The sequence below is a fragment of the Homo sapiens genome, chromosome 15 (genome assembly GCF_000001405.40).
Source record: "Homo sapiens chromosome 15, GRCh38.p14 Primary Assembly".
Lineage (NCBI taxonomy): Eukaryota > Metazoa > Chordata > Mammalia > Primates > Hominidae > Homo > Homo sapiens.
Genome location: NC_000015.10, coordinates 53,026,363 through 53,052,253, shown reverse-complemented (window position 1 = coordinate 53,052,253; position 25,891 = coordinate 53,026,363). Strand labels below are relative to the sequence as shown.

The 25,891-nt window shown below is 38.2% G+C and overlaps 1 long non-coding RNA gene across 5 annotated transcripts in view, besides 1 other annotated feature; it reads right to left on the bottom strand.

Moving 5' to 3' along the window:
* Positions 1-25,891, bottom strand: part of LOC107983981 (uncharacterized) — a 417,903-nt gene that overhangs the window by 169,401 nt on the left and 222,611 nt on the right. The window lies entirely within an intron of this gene.
* Positions 17,068-17,362: a silencer, noted in NCBI's record as "tiled region #2235; K562 Repressive non-DNase unmatched - State 24:Quies". NCBI's record gives its function as "represses a minimal TATA promoter and a strong SV40 promoter by Sharpr-MPRA in K562 cells {active_cell/tissue: K562}" and the evidence as "EXISTENCE:reporter gene assay evidence [ECO:0000049][PMID:27701403]".

Here is a 25,891-nt window from a genome sequence, read left to right as displayed (position 1 = left end):
ATATCCTTGTTAATTTTCGGTCTCAATGATCTCAATGATTGACAGTGGGGTGTTAAAGTCTCCCATTTTTATTGTGTGGGAGCCTAAGTCTCTTTGTAGGTCTATAAGATCTTGTTTTATGAATCTGGGTGTTCTTGTATTGGGTACATATATATTTAAGATAGTTAGCTCTTCTTGTTGAATTGAACCCTTTACCATTACATAATGTCTTTCTTTGTCTTTTTGTGACATTTATTGATTTAAAGTCTATTTTCTCAGAGACTAGGATTGCAATCCCTGCTTTTTTCTGCTTTCTATTTGCTCAGTAAATTTTCCCTCATTCCTTTATTTTGAGCCTATGTGTATTCTTGCACGTGAGATGGGTCTCTTGATTACAGCACCAACGGGTATTGACTCTTTATCCAGCTTGCCATCCTGTGTCTTTTAATTGGGGCATTTAGCCCATTTACATTTAAGGTTAATATTGTTATGTGTGGATTTGATCCTGTCATTATGATGCTAGCTGGTTATTTTACAGACTTGTTGATGTAGTTGCTTCATAGTGTCATTGGTCTTTGTACTTCAGTGTGTTTTTGTAGTGGCTAGTAACGAGTTTTTGTTTCCATATTTAGTGCTTCCTTCAGGAGCTCTTGCAAGACAGGCCTGGTGGTGATGAATTCCCTCAGCATTTCCTTGTCTGAAAAGGATTTTATTTCTCCTTCACTTATGAAGCTTGATTTGGCTGGATATGAAATTCTGGATTGGAAATTCTCTTTTTTTTTTAGAATGTTGAATATTGGCCCCCAATCTCTTCTGGATTGTAGTGTTTCTGCTGAGAGGTCCACTGCTAGTCTGACGGGCTTCCCTTTGTAGGTGACCTGGACTTTCTCTGTCTGCCCTTAACGTTTTTTCCTTCATTTCGACCTTGGAGAATCTGATGATTATGTGTCTTGGGATTGATCTCATGAAGTATATTACTTGGGTTCTCTATATTTCCTGAATTTGAATGTTGGCCTGATTTGCTAGGTTGGGGAAGTTCTCCTGGATGATATCCTGAAGTATGTTTTCCAAATTAGTTCAGTTCCCCCCATCTTTCAGTTACCCCAATCAGTTATATGTTCAGTCTTTTTACATAGTGCCATACTTCTCAGAAATTTTGGTCATTTCTTTTCCTTCTTTTTTCTCTAATCTTGTCTGCCTATCTTATTTCAGCAAGATAGTCTTCAAGCTGTGAGATTCTTTCCTCTGCTTGGTCTGTCCAGTTTCCCTGATCCATTCTGTAGGATGTGCTCTCTCCCCACACCAACCTTCATGCTTCTTTGTACCTTTCATTATAGCACTGGCAATCTATTTGGCATTTTGTTTATATGTATCCAAATCAATCCCATTACTAGATTACAAGCTCTTGGAGAGTAGGGCCTATGTCCCATTCACCTATGTGTCCTTTGCAGTATCCAGTAATATGCCTGGTGTGTAGTGGGTGCTCAGTATATGGTAGGTAATGTGACCATTCATGGACATGAACCCATAATAACATCTCACTTGCTTGGGGGCAGATCCAAGCCTGTGAAGAAGTGAGGGAAACAACTGTCCCTCGCCATTCAAAAAAAAATTCCTATAAATTTTATCTCAGCTATTTCTTCTTTTTTCTCTCAAAGAAGCAGGTGCTTCCTGCCATGTTATTCAATGCTGCCTTTTATGAGGCATAAAGGGAGCATTTTGAGTGACTGGGATTCTATTTTACTCCACCACAGAAGCCCAGGTAGCTAAAGGGCAACTTTAAGACCACCAACTAATCAGGACAGGATTAGTTGAGAGCAATCTGCACAGGAAGAATGGATGAGCCAAGCATGTCTGGCCAGTAAGCTAAAATTTGTTTTATTTGTTCAGAAAGGTCTTTTGTGAAGCTTTGGCTGGCCATATTTTTAGCATTTAAAGAAATGCTCTAAATCAATAGAAAATATGGTAAATAAATTTTGGCACATCCCCACATAGAATACTCTACTGTCATTAAAAAGATGATGTATTCACACCTCAAGAAACAGAAAAAGAAGAACAAATAAACCCAAAGTTAGCAGAAAGAAGGAAATAATAAAGATTAGAGCAGATATGAATGAAAACGAGAATAGAAAAAAATCAATAAAACAAAGAGTTGATTTTTTGAAGAGACCACAAAACTGACAAATCTTTAGCTAAGCCAACTAGAAAAAAATGAGAAAAGCTTCAAATAACAAAAATCAGAAATGAAAGAGGAGACTACATAACTGATGCTATGACACTGCTATGAACAATTATATGCCAACAAACTGAATAACCTACAAGAAATGGATAAATTTCTAAAACACACAACCTACCAAGACTGAATTGTAAACTAAAAAAAAAAATCTGAACAGACCTATAACTAGTAAGAATATTGAATTAAAAACCTCCCAACAAAGAAAAACTCAGAACCAGCTGGCTTCACTGAAAATTTCTACCACATGTTTTTAAAAGAATTAATACCAATATTTCACAAACTTCCAATAAAATCAAAGAGGAGGGAATGCTTTTAAGCTCATTATATGAAGTCAACATAATCCTGATAGCAAAATGAGATAAAGACACTATGAGTAATGAAAACTACAGACCGATATCCCTGGTGAATATTGACGTAAAAATCTTTGACAAAATAATAGCACATTGAATTCAATAGCATTTTAAAAGAATTATACACTATGACCAAGTGGAATTTGCTCCTGGAATGCAAAGATGGTTCAACATATGAAAATCAGTCAATGCAGTATACCACATTTACAGAATGGAGGACAAAAATGACATAATCATCCCAATTGATTCAGAAAAAGTATTTCAAAAAAATTCAATACAATTTCATGAACAAAAAAACCCTCACCAAACTAGGAATAGAAGGAAATTATCTCAACATAATGAAGGTCATATATGAAAAAATCACACAGCTAACATATACTCAGTCATGGAGAACTGAAAGATTTCCCTCTAAGATCAGAACAAAACAAGCCTACCACCTCTCACCACTTCTACTCAACATAGTACTGAAAGTTCTAGCCAGACTAATTAGGCAATAAAATAAATAAAAGGCATCCAAACGGGAAAAGAAAAAGTAAAACTATCTCTTTTCACAGAAGACATAACCCTATATGTATAAAACCCTGTATGTAAGATTCCACCAAAAAACTGTTAGAATAAATGAATTCAGCGAAGCTGTGGGATACAAAATCAACACACACAAAAAAAAGTTGTGTTTCTGTACACTAACAATAAACAATATGAAAAGGAAATTAAGAAAACAACTACATTTACAATAGGATAAAAAAGAATAAAATAATTAGAAGTAAACTTAACCTAGGAGGCAAATAACTTGTACACTGAAAACTACAGAACTGTCTTGAAAGAAATAAAAGAAAACACAAATAAATGAAAGACACATACATAGTCTATGAAATCCCTATCAAAATTCCAATGATTTTTTACAGAAATAGAAAAGGCTTGAAATTCTGTGAAATCTCAAAGGACCATGAATAGCCAAAGTTATCTTGAGAAAGAAAAACAAAGCTGAGGAGCTCAGACTTCCTGATTTTGAAACATTATTACAGAGCTATAGTAATCAAAACAGTATGGTGCTCACAAAGACAGAAACATAAACCAATGTAACAGTATAGAGAGCCCAGAAATAAACCCTCACATATATGGTCAGATAATCTTCAATAAGGTGCCAAAGTTACACAATGGGGAAAAATAGTCTCTTCAACAAATGTTGGGAAACCTGGATATCCATGGGCAAAAAAAAAAAAATGAAGTTGGACCTTCATCTTACACCATATACAAAGTTAATTCAAAGTAGATTAAAGACCTAAACACCTGAAACTATAAAACTCCCAGAAGAAAATAGAAAAAAAGATTCACGACATTAGTCCTTGCAATGATTTCTTGGATATGGCATCAAAAGTACAGGCAACAAAAACAGGAATAGACAAATGGAACTACATCAAGCTTAAAAACTCCTGTGCAGAAAGGAAACAATGAACAGAATGTAAAGACAACCTATGGAATGGGAGAAAATATTTGAAAACCATATATCTGAAAAGGGGTTAATGTTGAAAATATATAAAGAACTCCTAAAACTCAACAACAAACAACATCAACAGAAATAATTTATTTTAAAATGGCAAAACTCAAACAGACATTTCTCCAAAAACACAAATGGCCAATAAGATATGAAAAGATATCCAACATCACTAATCACAGGGAAATGCAAATCAAAACCACAATGAGATGTCACCTGAAACCTGTTAGAATGGCCATTATCAAAAAACAGAAAATAAAAATATTAGTGAGGATGTGAGAAAATTAGAACTGTTGTACACTGCTAGTAGGAATGTAAAATTGTTCAGCAGCTATAGAAAACTGTACTGAGGTTCCTTGAAAATTTTAAAAACAAAATTACTGCATGATCCAACAATCCTGCATCTGGTTTTATATCAAAAGGAATTGAAAATAGGACCTTGAAGAGATATTTGCACAACAGTGTCCACTGCAACATTATTTGCAATAGCTAAGATATGCAAACAATTCAAGAATCCATAGACAGATGAATGGATAAAGAAAATGTGGTATATACATAAAATGCAATATTATTCACCCTAATAAAAGAAATTTTGTCATATGTTGCGCCATTAACGAATCTAGAGAATATTATGCTAAGTGAAATAAGCCAGTCACAAAATCACAAATATTACATGATTCCACTTAAAGTTTCCAAAATAGTCAAATTTTTGGAAACGGTAGAATGGCAGTTGCCAGGGCTGGTGGAGGGGAGGAAAAGGGGGAGATGTTGTTCACTAAGTATAGCGTTTCCATTTTGCAAGATAAAAAAGTTCTAGAGTTCTATTGCACAAGAAGGTGCATATAGTTAACACTACTGTACTGTATACTTAAAAACGGTTCAGGTGGTGAAAATAATGATGTGTATGTACTTATGATATTAAGACATGCTGATTAAAAAAACATCAAGGAGAAAGTTACAAAAAGAAAGTTACAAATAATGTGTAACATAATCCCACTTTTGTAAATATATGTGTATGTATATACATAAGCATGTATATGCATATGTATTTGTATACATCTATACATGTGTATTACATTTATATAGTTTATACTACCTTTATATTTATACACAATAGAATATGAGCACAACCTGACAAAATGCATGTATATCTGATTTGTCATTTTATTCCTGGTGTTCAGTACATAGTTGGTTAGAAATATTAGTAGTTGATCAATGAATAAGCATATGTGCCATGAAAAAAGACTGAAAAGTTATGCACCAAAATATTAACAACAGTCATCTCTGTGTTTCAAGATTTTTTTGTCTTTACTTATCTGTAGTTCTAAAAATTTTTCTAATAAACAGTATTATTTATTCTCAAAATAATTTTTAAAGGTAAAGAATGGAGAGAAAATGCTGAGTCTAGATATATACAGAGAAATGATGAATTTTTAGCCCAAATAGATTTTACCTAAAATTCCCTAATAAAGTGAATAATTTTTTTTTATTTGGGAGGAGGAAGAATGCTCAAGAGACACAAAGTATGACAATAAGAGAGAGAGGTTATGTCCAGATGGTAAGGTCAGGAGGGAACATGAGGAAGAGATGTTGCTGGAGTCAGGTCTAGCAGGATGTGTGCACTTTCAATGAGTGAACTGGAAGGAAAATTCACTTCAAAAGGGAGATGAGATTAATAATGGCATAAACACTAGGAATTATTAGGTGGGTTTCGGGGACAAGTAATTGGAGTAGACTTGGGTTTAAAAGAAATGTGACTGGAAATAGGATATGGGCTGATTGTAGGTGGTTCTGCCTGTGTAAGGTTAGGAGTTTTGACTTTGTCCTGTGTGGAATCGAGGGTCATCCTTGTTTTTTTAGCAGAGGTGTGGCACAGCCAAAGTGCTGTTTACCTGCCAGCTACTTATCACATGGGCTCAAATAGAAGAGACTGGTTAGAAAGCTCAGGTAGTATCCCATGTTTGAGATGATAGAGACCTGGACAAAGAGGGAGGGGAGAGAAACAGAAATAGATGACAAAGACAGATGACAGAGTCTATGAAGAAACAATAACAGGGCTTAGAGACTGAGTGTCAGCACAGGAGGTTGCAGGCCCAGAGGAAGCAATGGGGAGCCTCACTTTTTCCCCCGCTGGATAAAATTAGGTTATGATAAACATCCAGAACATCTCTCATAGAACAAGCAATTTCAGGGCAGGCACAGTGGCTCAGGCCTGTAATCTCAGCACTTGGGAGGCTGAGGGAGGCAGGATCACTTGAGTCCAGGAGTCTGAGACAAGCCTGGGCATGATAGTGAGACCCCAGCTCAACAGCAACTTTTTTTAAAAAAATAGAAAAATTAGCCCAGCACAGAGGCTCATGCCTGTAGTCCCAGATACCTGGGAGCCTGAGGTGAAAGAATTGCTTAAGCCCAGGAAGTCAAAAATGCAGTGAGCCAAGATTGTGCCACAACACTTCAGCCTGGGAAACAGTGAGACCCTGTCTCAAAAAAAGGGGGGCAATGTCAAAGCGAAGTCTACTTAGGCAGAAACATCAGCCAAGGACTTTGGGTTTTCTGGGGATTTTTGTTTTCAGGGTAGTACTGTGAGGATCAGAAAGTAGACAAGAATGAGGCGGTGGGAAGAGGAAGGCTGGGGATAAAGAAGAGGTGGGATGACTGGGATGGATCTCCCAGTAGGTAGGATAGGAGACAACCCAGACCAAGGCAGAGAAATGGAAAGACACCTCAACTCCAAGGCTGATAGAAAGATGAGCAATTGCAGTGTTCTCACATGGAGAGAAATGGGGACGGTGAGATCATCTGTTTTTGCTGTAGGTATTATGGAGGTCACCTGCTTTGCAAGAAGGAGTGAGGATTGAGAAGAAAAGAATACATCTGAAACACCAATTTTAAAGAGTCTTAGAGAAACAGAAGATGAATAAACGGTCAGACAGCTACATGTGGCTGTGGATCAGGCACACGGGACTCAGCAAACTGTCCTTCTAATGCCATAGAACCCAGGCCCCTTAGCCAGGAGAGACCAGGGCTGGGAGACACTTGACAAGCCGGTAGAACATTGTGTTAGGTTCAGGATACAGGAGAGGTCTGACAAGGACAAATGGAAGAGATCTCAAGTCCTGAGTGAGGTGGGAAGGGCTGACTGATGGGAAGTTGGGTCTGCTTCCAAACCCCCATCATAATTTTTGGTGTTTTAGGGTGACAGAGTCTGATGCACAAGCCCTTGAGCAGGACCATGGGAGAAATGGTTCCTCAAGAAAATGGTAAGGAGGCCCCTTATGAGGGCCAGCTGGGCATACTGAGGAGGGCAGTAGTCTCCTGGGAAATGGGGAATCACTTGTTGGAATTTATTCTCCTCTACTCCCCAGGAAATCAAGAGGAACTAGTCAGTAAGCATACATGACACTGGAACCCCAGAGGGATGAAAAAGGGTAGGGCAACAAGGAATGTGTTTAAGAAAAGCTGATATAAAAATGATGAAGTAAAAGAAGGCACTGGAGTGAGTCACGTGCAAAGAGCTGAGGAAGGGTCAAGGCAGAGATCTGAGTGTGACGCCCGAGGCTCCGGACGAGTCCTTCAGTTTCATCATCCAGTTGCTGTGAGTGGTCTGGGGAGGGACAGGTAGGACAAATGAGAATCTCAAGTCTCAGATTCATTAGATCTCACATCTAATCATAGCTAAAGTTAGACTAGATGCTTTGTTAAACGTTAGACTAGATGTTTTGTTAAACGTTATCTTTTTGAAATTTTCAAACAATGTTTAATGACATCGATCATGAAATAATGTGATTTATAGGGGTAATATGATCCTATTTCTGCTAAAATTATGAAAAAAGTTATATGCACAAAATTATCAGAAAAAAATTCACTAAAATGTACATACTGTTTACCTCTAGATTATGAGAAAATAAGAGCCATTAACTTTATTTTGTTTTTCTCTAGCTCTCTTGAGTTATAATTGATATATACAGACTTGCACATTTTAATGTGTAAAATGTGATGAGTTTGGATACATGGAAACACCCATGATACCATCACCACAATCAATGTATATAAGACAATAGACACATCCAACACCTCCCAAAGTTTCTTTGTGTCCTTTTCTGTGTGACTGTTGTAAGAACATTAAAATAATATTCGCCTTCCACAAATTTTGAAGTGCACATATCATATTAACTATAGGCGCTATGTTGTACAGCAGATCTCTAGAACATATTTATGTACCATAACTGAAATTTTATGTCTACCGAACAGCTCCCCATTTCTCTCTCCTTTCTGCCCCTGGCAACCACCATTCTATTCTCTGCTTCTACGAGTTTGACTATTTTAGATAGCTCATATAAGTGGAGTCATGCAGTATTTGTCCTTCTGTGGCTGGCTTATTTCACTTAGCATAATATCCTGAAGGTTCATCCATGTTCTTGCCAATGGCAGTATTACCTTCTTTTTTAAGGCCAAAAAAATATTCCATTGTATGTATACGCCACATTTTCCTTGTCTATTCATCTGTTGATGAACACTTGAATTGTTTCCATATCTTGGCTATTGTGAATAATGCTGCAACGGACATGAGTGTGCAAATATCTCTTCAAGGTCCTGTCTTCAATTCTTCTGGATACATAACCAATAGTGGGATTGTTGGGTCATATGGTAGCTCTATTTTTAATTTTTTGAGAGCCCTCCATACAGTTTTCCATTATAACTCTACTAATTTACATTCCCATCAACAGCGTATCAGGGTTCCTTTTCCTCCACATCCTTGTCAACTTTCTATCTTTTGTCTTTTTGATAATCACCATCCTAACAGGCGAGAGATGATATCTCATTTTAGTTTTTATTTGCATTTACCTGATAATTAATGGTGTTAAGCATCTTTTCATATACGTGTCGGCCATTTGTATGTCTTCTTTGGAGGAATGTCCATTCAGGTCCTTTGCTCATTTTTGTAATTGGATCTTTTATTTTGGTTTGTTTGGGGAGAAGTTGCTATAAGTTGTAGGAGCTCCATATACATTTTGAAATTTTATCCTTTATGAGACTTGTGGTTTGCAGATATCTTCTCCTCTTCCATTTTTGTTGACTGTTTTCTTTGCTGTGCAGAAGCTCTTTAGTTTGATGTAGTCTCTCGTCCATTTTTACTTTATTGCCTGTGTTTTCAGTGTCATATCCAAGAAATTATTGCCATGACCAATATCAATGAACTTTTACCCCATGTTTTCTTCTAGGAGTTTTACAGTTTTTTCTTACATTGAAGTTTTTAATAGACTTTGAGTTAATTTTTGTGTATGGTGTAAGGCAGGAATCCAATTTTGGTTTTTTTGCATATGGATACCCAGTTTTCCCAGCACTATTTATTAAAGAGACTATCTTTTCCCCACTATATATTCTTGGCACACTTCTAAAAGATCAGAATATTCTTGGATTTAGTTCTGGGTTCTCTGTTCTGTTCCCTTGAACTGCATGTCTGTCTTTATGCCAGTGCCATACTGCTCTAATTACTTAGCTTTGTAATATATTTTGAAATCTGGAAGTGTGATGCCTCTAGCCTTGTTCTTTCTCAAGATTGCTGTGGCTATTCTGGGTTTTTCATGACTTTGAATATGAAGTTTAAAATTGTTTTTTCTATTTCTGTAAAAAGCACCATTGGAATTTTGATGGGGATAGTCTTGAATCCATAGATCACTGGGTAGTTTGAACATTTTAACAACACTAATTCTTCCAATCTATAAACCTGAGGTGTTTTTTCATTTATTTATTTATTTTACATGCTTTAATTTCATGTATCAATGTATCATAGTTTTCAATGTATGTCTTTCACCTTTTTAGTTAAATTTATTCTTAAATATTTTTTTTCCTTTCTTTTTCTTTTTTCTTTTTTTTTTTTTTTTTTTTTTTTTTTGAGATAGAGTCTTGCTGTGTTGCCCAGACTGGAGCATGATTATGGCTCACTGCAGCCTCAACCTCCCAGGCTCATGCGATCCTCTCACCTCAACCTCCCAAGTAGCTGGGACTACAGTAAGTACCACCACGCTTGGCTAAATTTTGTTATTTTTTATTTTTTATAGAGTTGGGTCTTACTTTGTTGTCCAGCTGGTCTTGAACTCCTGGGTTCAAGTGATCCTCCTGCTTCTACCTCCCAAATTGCTGGGATTGTAGGCATGAGCCACTGCACCCAGCCTTTTATTCTTTCTAATGCTACTGTAAAAATGACTTTTCCTAAATTTTTTTCAGCTGGTTAGTAACTGAGTTTTGTGTGTTGATTTTGTATCCTGACACTTTACTGAATTCATTTCTTAGTTCTAACAGGTTTTTTGTGGAGTTTTTAAAGTTTTCTACATATAGGATTCTGTGATCTACAATGTGTTAACCTTAAGTTGTGATTGTTACTATTAATAACAAAAGTTAACATCTCTTGAGCACTTTCTATTTGCAAGGACTGGGAAAGGGATTATCTCATTACATTCTTACAACAATCCATTTTTTGGGTAAGGAAGTTGAGATTTAGAAAGATTAAAATTACCTTTCACAAGATCACAGTGCTACAAAGTGGGGAGTCAGGATTTGAGCCCCAGTATCTGTAAAGCCAGACCCCTAATTCTGAAGCACTCAGCCTTTCTGGGGTGATTACAAGAAGGAAGTCTCAGCAAGGCCAAGAGGCGAGGACTTTCCAGATAATTATGTGATAATTTAGGAGCCGCCTTTCCAGGGCATCTGCAACCTCAGATTATCCAGATATAGACCTACAAGCAGTTTCTAAATCAGCAGCAACTAAAAAGAAATCGATCAAAAAGCCTGTGTTTGGGAGAATAACTCTAGCAACATATCCAGCATCAAAGACAGCTTAAATTAAAAGGAGGCAATGTTTAAAGAGCTTCCCAGACACACCAACAGCTCCCACAAAGCCAGTTGGGACTTTCTTCAAGGTGACTCCATTTATCACCCTTCTCAGGAGACCCTGGTATAGACCTCCTAATATCATCATATCCTGGGGCCTGTAGGTTTCTAGGTCACCACCTATAATACTGGTTGTGACTGTGAGTTATTTGGAGTTTGTGGCACCTTGTATCAGCTGGGATTGGAGAAAAGCAGAAGAGACAGATAGTAGTTCAAAATGGCATTTTTCTAGTAGCTTCTCACATATGTGTACTTCTCCACCTGTGAGCTCCCACCTTCTTGCTCCTCCTGACCAATGCAGAGTAACTGTCCCTTGGCGATATTTCATTTATCATTCAGATAATTTACCATCATCTGGACACGTGTATAGTCTGCATGTCTTATTCATTTCTTCAATTCTTTTATAAGACTTCTTTTATAAGACCTCTTCGTAGGAACAGGAGACTAGGATTTTAGTTAAAGATGCAAGCTGACCTTTCATGTCAAGTGAACAGACTAAGAATATTACATGCTAAGGTCTGATCTTGAACAAGTGTGTCTGCATCTACAGAGGAAGTAAGTCGAGATGGGTAACCATAATGAGATGAAACAAGGTAACAAGACTTTAACATCTTTATGTAAATCTTTGTGTGGATCAGCTCTGTGTTCAGCATACATCGTTCAAATATTTACAAGTACTTAAATTTGTAAATGTAATTTTTCTTCTAAATTCAGTTAAGTAACTCCATTAAGACAGAATCCAAGTCTGATGTCTGATTCATTTTCCCTCCCTTGCCTACCAAGCAAACTACCTGATACAAAGTAGGTACTGACTACATTTTTGATAAATGAGAAACCTGTTAGTATTTCTAAATGCAGCCTATTTCCTACTTTTTCCTCTTTTTTCTGTGTGTTTTTTTTTTTCTCTTTTTTTAGAGACAAGGTCTCAGTCTGTCATCCAGGCTAGGGTGCAGTGGCGCCATCATAGTTAACTGCAGCCTCAAACTCCAGGGCTCAAGCGATCCTCCCACCTCAGCCTCCTGAGTAGGTGGGATTACAGGCGCAAGCCACTGCACCCTAGCTTGTCTTTTTAACTGGAAATCAAAGTGTGGTGATCAAACCTTATGTGTGAATCACACACAATCAAATCTACTATAGTCTCGCTCCACAGCCCTATGAGTTCTTCAGACCAAGACCCAGACCATCATTTGCGGGGCCATGATAAAGAGCCATGGTAAATAGCACTACCTAAATGTTTGAGATAGGACTAGTTCCTCTGAGACTGTATGGCAACAACCAACAACTCTATGTTCCTGTGGAAATGATATGAACCATTCTTAAGAGTGGGTCTGATGGACTTAGACTTCTTGCAAATGGGATCTTTTAAGGAATTATAATACTTCAGAGCCAGAGGGTCTTTATATTATAAATTACCTAGTCCAACCCCTTTAATTGACAGGTGGGTTAGCATAGGTTCAGGAAGACAGGAGTCTCGCCTGGTGGTCACATATCTTGCTGGTAACAAGACCAGATGAGAGGCCCAGCCTGTGTCCTCACTTTTATCCTCTCTAACTTCTGTTCCTTCAGCTCTCCAGTTAAAGCCTTTACTGACTTCCATCTCCATCTGAATTAGATACTCCTCCTACTCACCCTCATAGTACTCTATACCTTTGTACATTTGTCTATAGCACAGTGTGTTGAATGTCTGCCCTCCACCAGAGGTATACAATATCAGCAGCTTTCCAGGCACCAGATAGTCCATAAACACTTGTGGAATAAATGAGTGAATGCAAGCATGAATGAATGAATGAATGAATGAATGAATGAATGAATGAATTCCTCCACAATGCATTTCCCAATACATTACACAACCTTCATTTATTCATTTATCTAGTATAACTTTTTACTTTTCTGTCCAACCCCCCAAATTGTCTTTTCTGCCCATCAAAAAAAAAATGAATGAAAAACTTTAAAGACCAAAAAAAAAAATCTTTTTAGAGAAATAAATGAGAGCTTCTAGACATAAGAGAAACAGAAGTTTTATAAATCATTTTTGAGGACCCCTAATTTTTCAAGGGCTAGGACCATATTTTCTTCATCTCTTTACCTATTGCCTAGCACACAATAGGAATGGCAAGTAACGTGAAATCAAATAAAAGAATTGAAGAAATGAATAAGACATGCAGACTATATGTGTGTCCAGATGATGGTAAATTATCTGAATGATAAATGAAATATCACCCAGAACTTTTTGTTTATGTTTTCTCTAGGATAAGCCATTTACATCTTCTGGACAGAGCCACATTTTGAGAATTAAGCAGGAGGTTCATAGCTCAGCATTTGAACCCAAAGTGAAAATTTGGTCTCAGTCATAGGAGGTGAGGAGCCTCGTCTTTTCGAAAGTGAGAGTAAGTTGAGGGTCACAGAGAGGACAAGGAATACACCATCCCCTGCCCGCCTCAACAGCAGGGTCTCTGGAGCCAGGCTGTTCCCCTCTCTGTATTGAAACTCAGTGATGCTGCAGCATGCTGGCCGAGCAGCAGCTGAAGATAAGCCACCCACCGCTCCAATGGAGCCAGCACACAGCCACGAGAGCAGCAGTGACCGCCCCACACAGCCAGGCTGGCCTGACCTAAAGGCCCTTCAAACAGAAAGCACTTTTCTGAGTTTCAGAGAGACGGATCATAGCCACCCCTGTGGCAGCCTTAGGTTAAGTCCACGAAAGCAAGGGTTAACATACAGTGCTGTGCAGTGAGAGCACCGTCCGTACTATGTTAAACCCCCTTTATATAAAAGGAAAGATCCGACTGTTGTGCAGAAAATCCCTACCCTTTCTGATCGATGCTTCCCACCACTAGGGCATCTAGTAATTTCTGATTCAGTCTCCTGTAGCTTTTACTTCAATGACAGGGCACAGCAGGCCCGGGGCAGACAGCAGCCAGGCTCTGTATGGCAAACCGTCCGCTCTGCCAAGAGGTGTGAGTGTTGGGGGTGATGCACAGAGCAGAGGACGATGTCACTGTGGGGTCGCACTGGGACTGTTTTAAGCCCTGCCCACATCCTCAATCATAGACTTAGAGTTCAAAGGGCTGTTAGGCTGCTGCTCACTGATCTCATCTCAAGGTGATAGTCACCTCTGGCCTTTCAGCAGACAGCAAGCCCGCTGTCCATCCATCTTGAAGCAGCTTGACACTAGATTCTCTACCCATTTCACAGCCAGTGAACATTCCCTATTGATTTATTGATTGGTGTCTGCCTGTGGAGGGAGCTCGGAACAGACTCTGTTCACTCACAACCTCCCGCATGGATTTTTTTTTCCCTCCTTTCTTTTCTCCTTTTTATCCAAGGCATGTTAGCAGTCTGGGGTGCAGCAGGAATTAGAGCATGCAGGAGCCCAATTTACTGTCATGAATGTGCCCAACTCCCATTGGTCAGTCAGTTCTGCTTGTCTTTTCTTTTCCCTTTTTCTTTTTTTTTTCATTTTGCCCCAAACTGGGAATACCCATTCCTTGCCCATTCTCGTTTGCTAGTGAGCCCCTGCTTTCCCTTACCTTTAAGACATTCCTTAAATCCAAGATGGCCAAGCAGAGAGAAGGGAGTTAGGAGAACAAACATACTCTCTCCCCTATTGTATTTTTGCTGTCACATCCCATTGCAGGAGAAGAGCACCTTATTTACAAAAAGAGTTCCTCCTCACCCTCTACTTATGAATAAGCAGTATTTGATTGCATTGAATCATTTATAATTCGATTCTAAGTCATTGCAATTGCACTGGTTTCTCTTCAGGAAAACAACCTTTATCAGCACACTCACCCTTACTGGAATTTCATGAATGAGCACTCAGAAGCCGTGAAATCTGTGTGGTCCTTAAGCTTTTTAATCTGCAGAGCAAGGTTAAGAAAAGTGCCTATAAAGCGAATCCCCTCCTTAAGGGAGAAACAGAAAGCGCAAAATCCTTATAAACAACCACACATCTACCAGGTATAAGGTGCAACAATAGAAATCATTGAACCACAGCTAATGTGTCTTATAAGGAGACCACATGGCTATGCTTAGTAGCAGTTACTTTCAACCATCTCAGACAATCTACAAATCACATCTCTGGATTCCACAGTTCTTCACTACCTTTGGAGTTTTTAGAGAAAGGAACCATTTGTCTCCTTATAGTAATTAGGTAGAACAATGACTGTGGTATCTTATGAGTAAAATATTGCATTGATCTGGACACTGGATACCCAGGTCACATGTTAGTCACAAATACATTTTCTCAAAAAAAATAATAATTGGTTTTGTTTAAATTAAACAAACCATTCTCCCAAGAGCAAAATTTCCCAAAGACAGAGGGGCAAGGCTGCCTCAAATGCCTGTTATCCAGTCTCAGTGTTCTAAAAAGTGTAGAGAGTGATTTCAGTCCTCTGAGGCTACATAGCCCCATTTTAATCTGACCTCAAAACACCTTCTCATTCTACTTGTAGCCACTAGTTGTCTAAGAGACCTTACGTGACCAGTATAAGCTAGTGGCCTAGGTTTCCATCTGCTGATTTAATCATATAAGCATGTGACAGGTTTTTGTTAATTAGCTGTATTTAATCCTTTTTAAAAATTTAATTGGTCTCAAGATTCCAGTGGTAAACAATCGAAGTAAGGAAAAACAGAAACAAAATTTGAAAATATAAATTAAATAAAAATATAAAATAAAAAAGGTGAAATAAACGTCTTGTAGGCAGTATAAATTGGTAAAACCATTTTGAAAAATAATGAAACAAGATATACCAATAGTTTTTAAAATGTAGACTACGTATATCCTTTTGATTTAATCTAAAGGAATAATTTTAAATAATTTTTTAAATTATGCTTTAAAAGATTCACAGCAGTGGATATAAAAATAGACACAATAAAGGGGAAACAATCTAAATTTCAAAAATATGGAATGATCAAGTTGTGATATATTCACTCAATATAATGAGCTATTATAAGTCATAGAAGACTATAAAGAAAACATAATAAGGAGAAGCTCCTCTACTGTAATATTAAGTGGAGGGAACTGCCAACTATTATCAACAATATAATTATAACTAGATGGAAGAAAATGAGCCCAGAGAAAATATAGTGACAAGAAGTTCTCTAAATGCCAGTTAACGTCAGGTTGAAATTATGAGATTATACTATCATCAATTCTTCTCTTACCCAAATATTCTTCTTTCAACCTGCATGCATAATATTTCTAATAAAATTTTAAAACTTGGAAAAAGTAGAATAAGTTGCCTTTGAAATCATTTGGGCTGGCTCTCAAATGTGTAATAACATTTAGTACTTTTATTTTCCTTACTGAAAAGTCACCTATGGAGAAAAGGTAAGGGTCTGAGCTGTTTGCTTTGGCAACATGGTTTTGAAAGCCATTGGAATTTTTTCCCATAAACAGTAGAAAGATTTTTAGCACCGGACAGCAGGCAAAGCAACAATAGGACAACAATGACTGGATATATTGAGATCCTGTAGTGTGGTTAAAAAACAAAAAGGAGCCTATAGTGTGGTTAAAAAAAAAAAAAAAAAAAAAAAAAAAAGGATGGGGACTGGATGCGGTGGCTCACACCTGTAATCCCAACACTTTGGGATGCTAAGAGGGGGGTGAATCACAAAGTCCGGAGTTCGAGAGCAGCCTGGCCAACATGGTGAAACCTCATCTCTACTTAAAATACAAAAAATTAGCTGGGCGTAGTGGCAGGCGCCTGTAATCCCAGCTACTTGGGAGGCTGAGGCAGGAGAATTGCTTGAACCCGGGAGGCAGAGGTTGCTGTGAGCCGAGATTGAGTCACTGCATTCCAGCCCTGGCGACAGAATAAGACTCCGACTCAAAAAAAAAAAAAAAAAAGAAAGAGGGGGTGGTGCCTTTAAACACTTTGGATTCTAGACCCAATACTGCCATTAACTAATTGGGGAAAAACATCACTAAACTTTTTTATACTTTATACTTTAGTATTTTTTTCCATTCAATCAGATAAAATCATTTTTAATTCCTACATAACATACAAAGTATAATGAACCACTGGATAAATGTGCAAAATACCTGACATCACTAAGTTCCAGCTCTCAGTCCTCTCTCTAGAATAATGATTATTTGATTCCTTTTACCCTTCTTCTGGTTGGACTGGCCACTCTGTAAAGTAGCCCCTCAGTTTTGTCATCCAGAATGGTGTCAGTGTAGACGTCACTCATCCCTGTGACAGGATGATTGTGCAGAAAAATGGCACAGCCACCTGCTTTTCAGGGAGGTGCTGGCCAATGGCGCAGGCTGCCAGGGGGGTGCGGCAGGACACCAGGCTAAGCCAGTCCATTGACCTGCATATATCTGAGAGTGGGGCTGTAAGAACAAACAAGGCTGAACTGTTTAAGCCCAGATGTCCCAGCAAGAGAACAAAGGTTGAACTAGGCATACTTTTAACAAGGTTAAGTCAACAGTTGGACAGAATTTTCTACCTAGAAATCACTTACCATGGGGAGTCACAGTCATTAGATCCAAGCATCACATGAATGCGTTATCCACAAAACTGGCCAGGACACTAAATGACAGAATTTTCTACCTGGAAATCACTTATGATGGAGAGTCACAATCATAAGATCCATGCATCACATGAATACATTATCCACAAAACTGGCCAGGATACTAAGTGACCTTACCAAAAATAAATACCAATGCTTCTCCCTGAGCTACTCTAAGAGTAAGTTACAAGTCACTTACAAGAGCCACAGAGGCAGGTTTTCAACTGATTCCTCTATTCAACCAACATCGATCAAGCTCCTATGATGTGTTAAGCAAAGGGCATGGAAAGAATAGGCCTAGTCCTGGTCTCTGAGGAATTTTCAGCTCACTGGAAATAATAACCAAATGTTACACACATAGCATCCTGCATACGATCTGATGCTTTCAACTCAGTGCTGCATTTAACCTCCCAGTATCTCTGTGAGGTCTTGCTATGGAAAAACATAGCCACCTATGACTGGGCATAGACTGTCAGACTGAAGAAAGGATGTGATTCGAAACAAAGGAGTTTCCTCTGTCCATGTTTGGCACAGCTAATTATCCCAAGATAGAGTATTAAATAGGCAGAGAGTGTGGCAGGCCTATAAGTTAAAAGAGTATGTAAGAATTAGAGTGGTTTTTTCATAGTGTGCTATTCTCTGCTACAAAGGAGGGAAGAAACACGTTTGCATGTTCCCTACCATGATGTGCCCTGACAGTCCCAGGGAGGAGTCCTAAGGAGAAGCAAAGTGCCTTTGGACCCTCAGGTCAGAATGGAGGTGCCTGTACTTCCTAGGAGTACTTATTGCCCGAGTTGGTTTCAATCCCGGCCCTGAGGTCCAGGGAACCTGGAGTTGATTAGAGGAAGCTCCAAGGAAGACCCTGGAATTGACCCTTCCAGCTGCAAACCTGGAGCTTATTTTTCTCATCAAGAAGTCCAGAGTTCACACACCAGGAAACTGTTTGCTCAGGAAGTAGAAAGAACTCATTCACCTTCATTCTACTCAAACCAACTCTCTGCCCGCTGCCTCACTCTTGCTCCCCCTGAGTAAAAGCCATGGAAAACATCACATAATATCGAAGTTTGAATGATTCTTAAAACTTCTGTTGTCCAGTCCCTCGTTTCAAAAACAGGAAAATGAGGGCCCATAAAGAGATCATCCCTTGCCTAAGGTCACTCAACCCACCTCCAAACTCTTCATGACACAGGTCAAGGCAGACTTATCTGCTCATATACATTCATGCATTTATTCACACATACAATCCTAGAGCAAGTGAATGGCACCCTTAGAAGCCATGTGTGTAGACTATATATTTGTTATTTTAAGGACCACTTGGGCTAGATGTAACTTTGGCTCACACCATAAAGGAAATACAGTTCGGCGGAGTACTTCTGTCCCATGTCTATATTATGAATATGAACTTGAGGGCAAAAGCGAACACAAATTAAGACACTTATATTATCTTAAAGTGACTTCACCAATGTTGGCATTGGTATTTCTCATTGATTAGAAGCTGCTTTGACTTATTCACAGCTTAATGTTGCTTATTAGAGAAAACAAATTAGACTCCTAACCATCCAATGCACCTGAGGTGTACTTACAGCTTTCAACACACAGTGGTTAGACAAGCTGATCATGATACAAAATCATTCATTCTTGCCACCTTTCTGCCAGACTATTCCTGCACCCCACTCCCATCTCTCTGGTGCCCTCTGTTCGACCACTTGCTGATGCTATTTGCCAGAGAGTGAAGGTGTCTGTGAGCTTTGAAAATTGGATCACAGGAGCAGCTCCACGCTGGCCCCAATCACGCTGACGGCAAGACTGATCAATCAATACCCTGTGTGACACTTTCAGAATTCACTGGAAATGATGCCCTTTTCAAATGACACCCACATTTTATCGAGGGCAGTTCTAGTGAAGAAAAAAAAACACCACACCAATATGTTTTTCTTAGATATATCTGGTTTCAGTAAACTTTGTTGGTTAAGACCAATAAGTCTGTATCTCCAACCTCTCCCCATCCAACCCAGCCTTTGAAAAAGAAGGAGATGCAACGTTTAGGCAGCTTTGCAAGCTGACATTTTCCTGAGCCCTTAAATCTCACATATAGAATAGAAAGTGGCCATGCTTCTTTCAATGCAATGAGTATTTTAAAATTCTAGGTTTGTTGTGGACTTCCAGCACACCAGACTCATACAGAAAACAAATGAAAATTTTCTTCCAGAATGAAAGGCTTAAAATTGCCAGGGTCCTGTTCTAAATACTTTGAGAGGGTTAACCACTACCTGTCTCATATAATGCTGGGATATACAATGGCAATGCTTTGCTTTATATGCAGGAGGGTGCAAGAGGGAGGGAAGGACAAAGTGTCAGGTACCTGGACCAGCCCAGAAGGTCAGCCAGTGCTGCTTAACAAAACCAGGTGGAACACTTTGGTTTAATTGCTAAATTCTAACGAGGCTAGAAGGTTCCCAGTGCATCCCAACATTAGGCATCCCACCCAGGCCCCCAGAGCGGAGGTTACAAAAGGCCTTGAGGGACTAAGGAATGAGAGAAGTGACTCTTCTGACTGGAAGACTCAGGAGGAAAGAATGAGAGAAGAGAACAAGCAGAATTAGGATCCCAGGTGTCACCATTTAAACAAAACCCCACATACCAGCAGTTAAGAGCAATGGTTCTCAACTTGAGCAGGCATCAGCCTCATTGGGAAGGCTCATTAAAACAAAGGTTGTTAGGCCTCATCCCTAGAGTTTCTGATTCAGTAGGTCTGGAGTGGGGCCTAAGAATGCATTTCTAACAAGTTTCTGTGTAAAGCTGCTGCCTCTGCTCTGGGACCACAGTTTGTAGACTACTGATTTAGAGCACCTTTAAATAACCTACAAATCAAATAAACCCAGCTGTGTAAATAGCACCAGAATCATTTTTATTTTATTGTGCTCATCAGGGTAGATATGATAGAGCATATCTTTAATGGAACCAATTTTCCAAAGTGTTGTCAGGTTTTGGTTTTTGTTTTGTTTTTTCTGCCTGGTACTGTGAAAGAACAAAGGTGGACTATGAATTTTCTTCTCTGACAATGACAATTCTGCAAACAAAACAGGCACGTGACTAGTTCTTGACAGTCCAAGCTCCCCTTAGGGTTCAGGGAGCAATCATCAGGGCCTGGAGTATCCAGGTCAACTGAGTTAACCAGATGCTGGTCAATCATGGGGCTCTGGGCTGTCACAATGAATGGGCAATCAATGGGCCATCCCATTCAGTTGTTGAAACACTCAAAATCTAATGCCTGACCATTTCAGGATCTGGTTATCATGAAATCCAAGGGAGCTATCTTTAAATAGCCAAGGTTTCAAATATAAAGCAATGTGATTGGTCTCTTAGCAATTTTCTCCCTCAGCCAATCAGGTTAATTAGCAAGAACTGCCAAAAAGTTTCTAAAATAAAACAATTAATATAAATACTCTCCATATTTCTAGCAGGATTTCAAGAAGATTTTATGAGAAACTACTATTTCCTTTTTTAAAAAAATACCAAATGGAGGCAAACCTGTGAACACTAGAATATTAAAATTGAATATAGCATACACTTCTCCTGCTGTGAGCCTCCCTGTATACAGAATTCCAGTACCTGTTGATTTGCTTCTGTGCAGCTTTTCAGCAATGGGGAGAATTTCACTTTCAGTTACAGTGTATGAGATTTATGAATCTCTCCGACTGCGGATAATTAGAAAAAGAGAAAGTGGTGTAGGGAATAGGAAAAGGAGCAAAACAGACAGCAGAACACGAGCTGGAGTTTTTGCAATGTTTTCTTTCTCCCTTAGGATGTGGAAAGAAGGTAAAACCTGGCCTCAGAACTGCACTCCTGTGACTTTTGCAAGGCAGGAAACAGAGATGTGAGTATGGTGGCTGAGCGTGCTCTGGCATGAAACTAGCTGAGCAGAGAGAGTTTCTAAATCTCTGTATCAGGATAGAAGGTGAGAAATGCCTGCTCAGTGAGATCGAACCGGTTAAATAAAATTTCCTCAAAGATTTGAGGTTTACCTGTTTGTTAGTTTTTGTTTCCCTCATTTTTCTCCGTTGTTAATATCCAAGTCACTGCATTTCTAAACAGGAGTAGAACCTGAGAGATGGGAGGCAACAACTCTAAGTCATCAGAAAAGGCACTAAATACTTTAACAGTGGAGAAGACACAAAGAAAAGCCCTTTCAGCATGCCTGCTACCTGGAAATAAAAGAGGAGTGATGAATTCATTTTTTTAAGTGTTAAAACAATGGTAGAAGAAATCTGAAAATAGTTTTCAGTACCAAGGAGTGGCAAATCTAAATTAACTGTCATGTAACTTTTATAACCACCTAATAATGAGTAATATGGCATTGGCATTCTCTTTATTTAGTGTACTAATTTTACTGTCTTATTTTCATGTCATAAAATAGTTTAAATGATTTTTGTGTATCTGTCCACTTCCTCATTTTTCCAATGTCTTATCTATAAGATCATCTGATTCTCAACTATGAATCCTCCTATTAGATGTCTTGCAAATCCTTACAGATTTGGAAGCAACTCCTATGTATACATAGGAGTAGTATGAAAGTTCTATGCAAGTCAATAAGCTCAAATCAATTACTGGAACTGTGTGTTGTGCTATACAACTCAGGGGGTGGAAGAACAAAGAAAGACAGGAAAGATAGTAAAACATGTTCCTCCACCTGAAAGAGTTCACAATACGTGGTGAGAATAGATTAAAAAACACCAAACCATAGTAGATGTGGGAAATAAAGAAAAGGGATCCAAAGTGTTTCAGGACCACTGTTTGTGTGAAACTGGCAAAAAGGAAGGTTCTAGAAGTTTTCACAATGGAAGACACATTTAAACTGAACCTGTGAACAACACAGGCGTTTGCCATGCTAAAAATGGAGAGCAGAGGAAGGGAGCATTCTAATCAATGTTCATGACCTGTTAAAGAAACCTCCCTGTATCAATCAGGGTTTATAGCCACCATAAGTATTACAGGAATCAGGGATTTATTTTAGGAATTAGACCTTACACAACTGTGGGAGGAGCTGGGGAAGTGAAGGTCAGGATATCAGAGGAGAAGTCATTAACCAGTCTACCTAGAGCACTAGCAAGGGAAGAAAAGTTGAAGCTTGCAGTGAAATCCAAGAAACCAATTTATCTAGCCACCAAAGTGAAACCACAAAGGAAGAGCTTGTGGACAGGACTAGAGGAAGCTATGGTCTCTAAAGATCACAACCTCTGCACACTCATAGTCAAGAGTCTTGTAGTGGGCTTGAGACCACTACTGGTCAGCAGAGCAGCATTTGGGAAGATGTGTTAGACACAGAGAAGAGGAGAGCCATGATCAGCTAGAACCCATCAGGTTCTGTATCTGACTGGGACAAACTTCCAAATTAACAACTGCTGCTTCTCTCCCACCTCCCGAATTTCATTCAAGTTCTTCCTTCAGACATCTAACTGGGAACCCTACAAAGAAGGGTTTCTAAGAAATAGAATTCCCAACTTAACCAAATTGGTGTTGCCAAATCTCAAGGAAGTTGTAAGAAGGAAAACTGGAAAGGGTTCTTTGACACCAAGTAATTTCTTCTTGGTTCTGAAGAAATTGGAGCGTCATTAAAGGTTTTATCAGCAGACTGCATGTCCAATTTCTCTTTATTAAAAATAACTTAAGTGACTACGTGCTGTAACTCATAGATAGGGAAGGGAGAGAAGGTGATTTCATGTCTCCCTGAGTTGACTCAAGTTATTTCTTCTCTCTCAATTGCTCTTCTTGCACATCCAGTGAAAAACTCTTACTCCTCACAGATTTCATTCAGACATCACCTCCTCTGAGAAGCCTCCAATGACTTTCCACTGCATATCCTCCATTTCTCCCTTTGGGCTCCCATAACATCTTGTACATACTACTATTAAAGCACTTTTCATATTGTGGTGTAATTTTCTGCTTTTATGGTTGTTTTTCTTCAGTAAACCATAAGTTCCTTGTGAAAGGGGACTATGCTTTATTTCTCACTGTTTACCCAAGATCTTGTTGATAGTAAGTGCTCAAAAGACAGAGAGTGAAGAAATGAATGAATGGTAAATGATTGAGTGAAAAAGAAGCCTATTGAGGATGTTAATGCAGTAGTTAAAGCTAAAGGTCCAAAAGGCTTGGATTAGAAGAGTGGCAATGGGGATGCAGAAAGTGGGGAATAGCCAAGTAACATTTAGAAACAGACTGCCTAGGATTTGTTTGATACCCATTGAACATGGAAGATGTGGGAGATAGACCCTGATAAATGTTTAAAATGAGGGTATAAAGTTATAGAATAAATCATAGTAAGTTTCATCAAAGAGATGAAATTGTTACAACATTAAGAAGATTATGTCTCCATAAAATAAAATATAATCAAAGCACTTCCCAACAAATGGGCCTAAATTAGCGGTGGCTAGCTTAAAAGAGGTGAATACTATTATATGTTAGAATTTTCTGCAGGAAACCTTAATTCCTAAGCTTCTATCTCTACTTTTTATTTTGTTTCACTTGGCAGTTACCACTGGGTGACTTTAATGGAATCAAAAGAACTGTAACAACACATAATGACTTTTAATGCAATTTTGACATGAGGCATCATTGGTATCATTGGCGTATTGCAGATTTTCAAAATGGCTCCACACTGAGCTAAGGAAGGCCAGGAAGCGCTCTCTCTCTCTCTCTCTCTCTCTCTCTCTTTCTCTTGCTGTGTCTCTTCAAATAGGCTGAATCTCCTTTCATATAGACTTGGGTTTGAATTTCAGCTTCACTCTTTATTAGCTGAATGATCTTAGGCAAGTTTTTTAGCCTTCTAACCTCACTGTCTACATCTGTAAAATTGCTATAACACCAATTCCTGTATTTTATATGTTAAACGCTTAGGGAAATATCTGACTGGTGGGGTAATTCTGGTTTTTTTTTTTTTAGTATTTTCTTCTATTTGAAAGAGTTTCAAATAAAGTAATATATATCTATGGCAAAAAATTCAAAAACACCTCTTGAAGTTCATTGAAAAATTCTTCTTCTCTTCCTTTCTTCTAGTCACATAGTTCTTTAGCCAAAGGAAATTACTATTATTCACTTTAGAAATAGGCCACACATTTTCCATATACATAAATTTTGTATATCCATACTATTCTGAACTCTGTTTTTTTGTTCACTTAATATTGAAAGACTTTCAGATAAGTATACATTGCACTGTGTCATTCACTTTTTTAACAGCTGTTTCATATTTTATTGTATGGATTATTCATAAATTATTTAACTGGTCTCTATTAAAGAACATTTCAGTAGCTTCTAATCTTTTTACATTTCAGTGTTGCAATATCCTATAAATGCATCACTTCACTGATATATGATTGTATTATAACATAAATCAAAGTGGAAATTTTGGTCAAAGATATGCATATGTATATTTTTCTTTTCTTTTTAAATCATTTTAAGGAAAGTGCACAAAATTTTAAAATGCACATCTCAGGAGGTGGGGCAAGATGGCAGAACAGAAGCCCACACCGTTCATCCTCCCCACAGCAACAGCAAATTTTAACAACTATTTGCACACAGAAAAGCACTATCACAAAAAACAAATCAAAAATAACAACAACTTTTCAAGACATAGACAGTAAAATATGACATAAGGAAAAGCAACAAAAAGTTTAAAAAGTGAGGATGAAGTTAAAGTATAGAGTTTTTATTATTTTTCTTTTTGAATGTTTGTTTATGTGATCAGTGTTAAGTTGTCATAAGTTTAAAATAATGGGTTATAGGATAGTATTTGCAAGCCTCACAGTAACCTCAAATCAAAAAACACACAAAAAAGTACAAAAATTAAAAAGCAAGAAATTAAGTCATACCACCAGAGAAAATCACCTTCATTAAAAGCAATACAGGAAAAAGAAAAAAAGAAGAAAGGACCACAAAACAAGCAGAAAATAAATAACAAAATGGCGTAAGTCCTTACTTATCAATAACATTGAATGTAAATGGACAAAACTCTCCAATCAAAAGACACAGAGTGGCTAAACTGATGGAAAAAAACGAGACCCAATGATATGTTGCCTACAAGAAATATACTTCACCTATTTAAAAAAAAAAAGAACACATGCACTGAAAATAAAGGGATTGAAAAAGATATTCTACGCCAATGGAAATCAAAAAAGAGCCTTTCAATCTAAAAGGTCTTTAAATCTAAGATCTCAAACTATGAAACTACTAAAAGAAAACTTTGGAGAAGCTGTAAAGGACATTGGTCTGGGCAAAAATTTCTTGAGTAATACCCCAGAAGTACAGGCAACCAAAGCAAAAATGGACAAATGGGATCACATCAAATTAAAAAGCTTCTACACAGCAAGCAAGCAACAAAGTGAAGAGATAACCCACCAAATGCAAGAAAATATTTGCAAACACCCC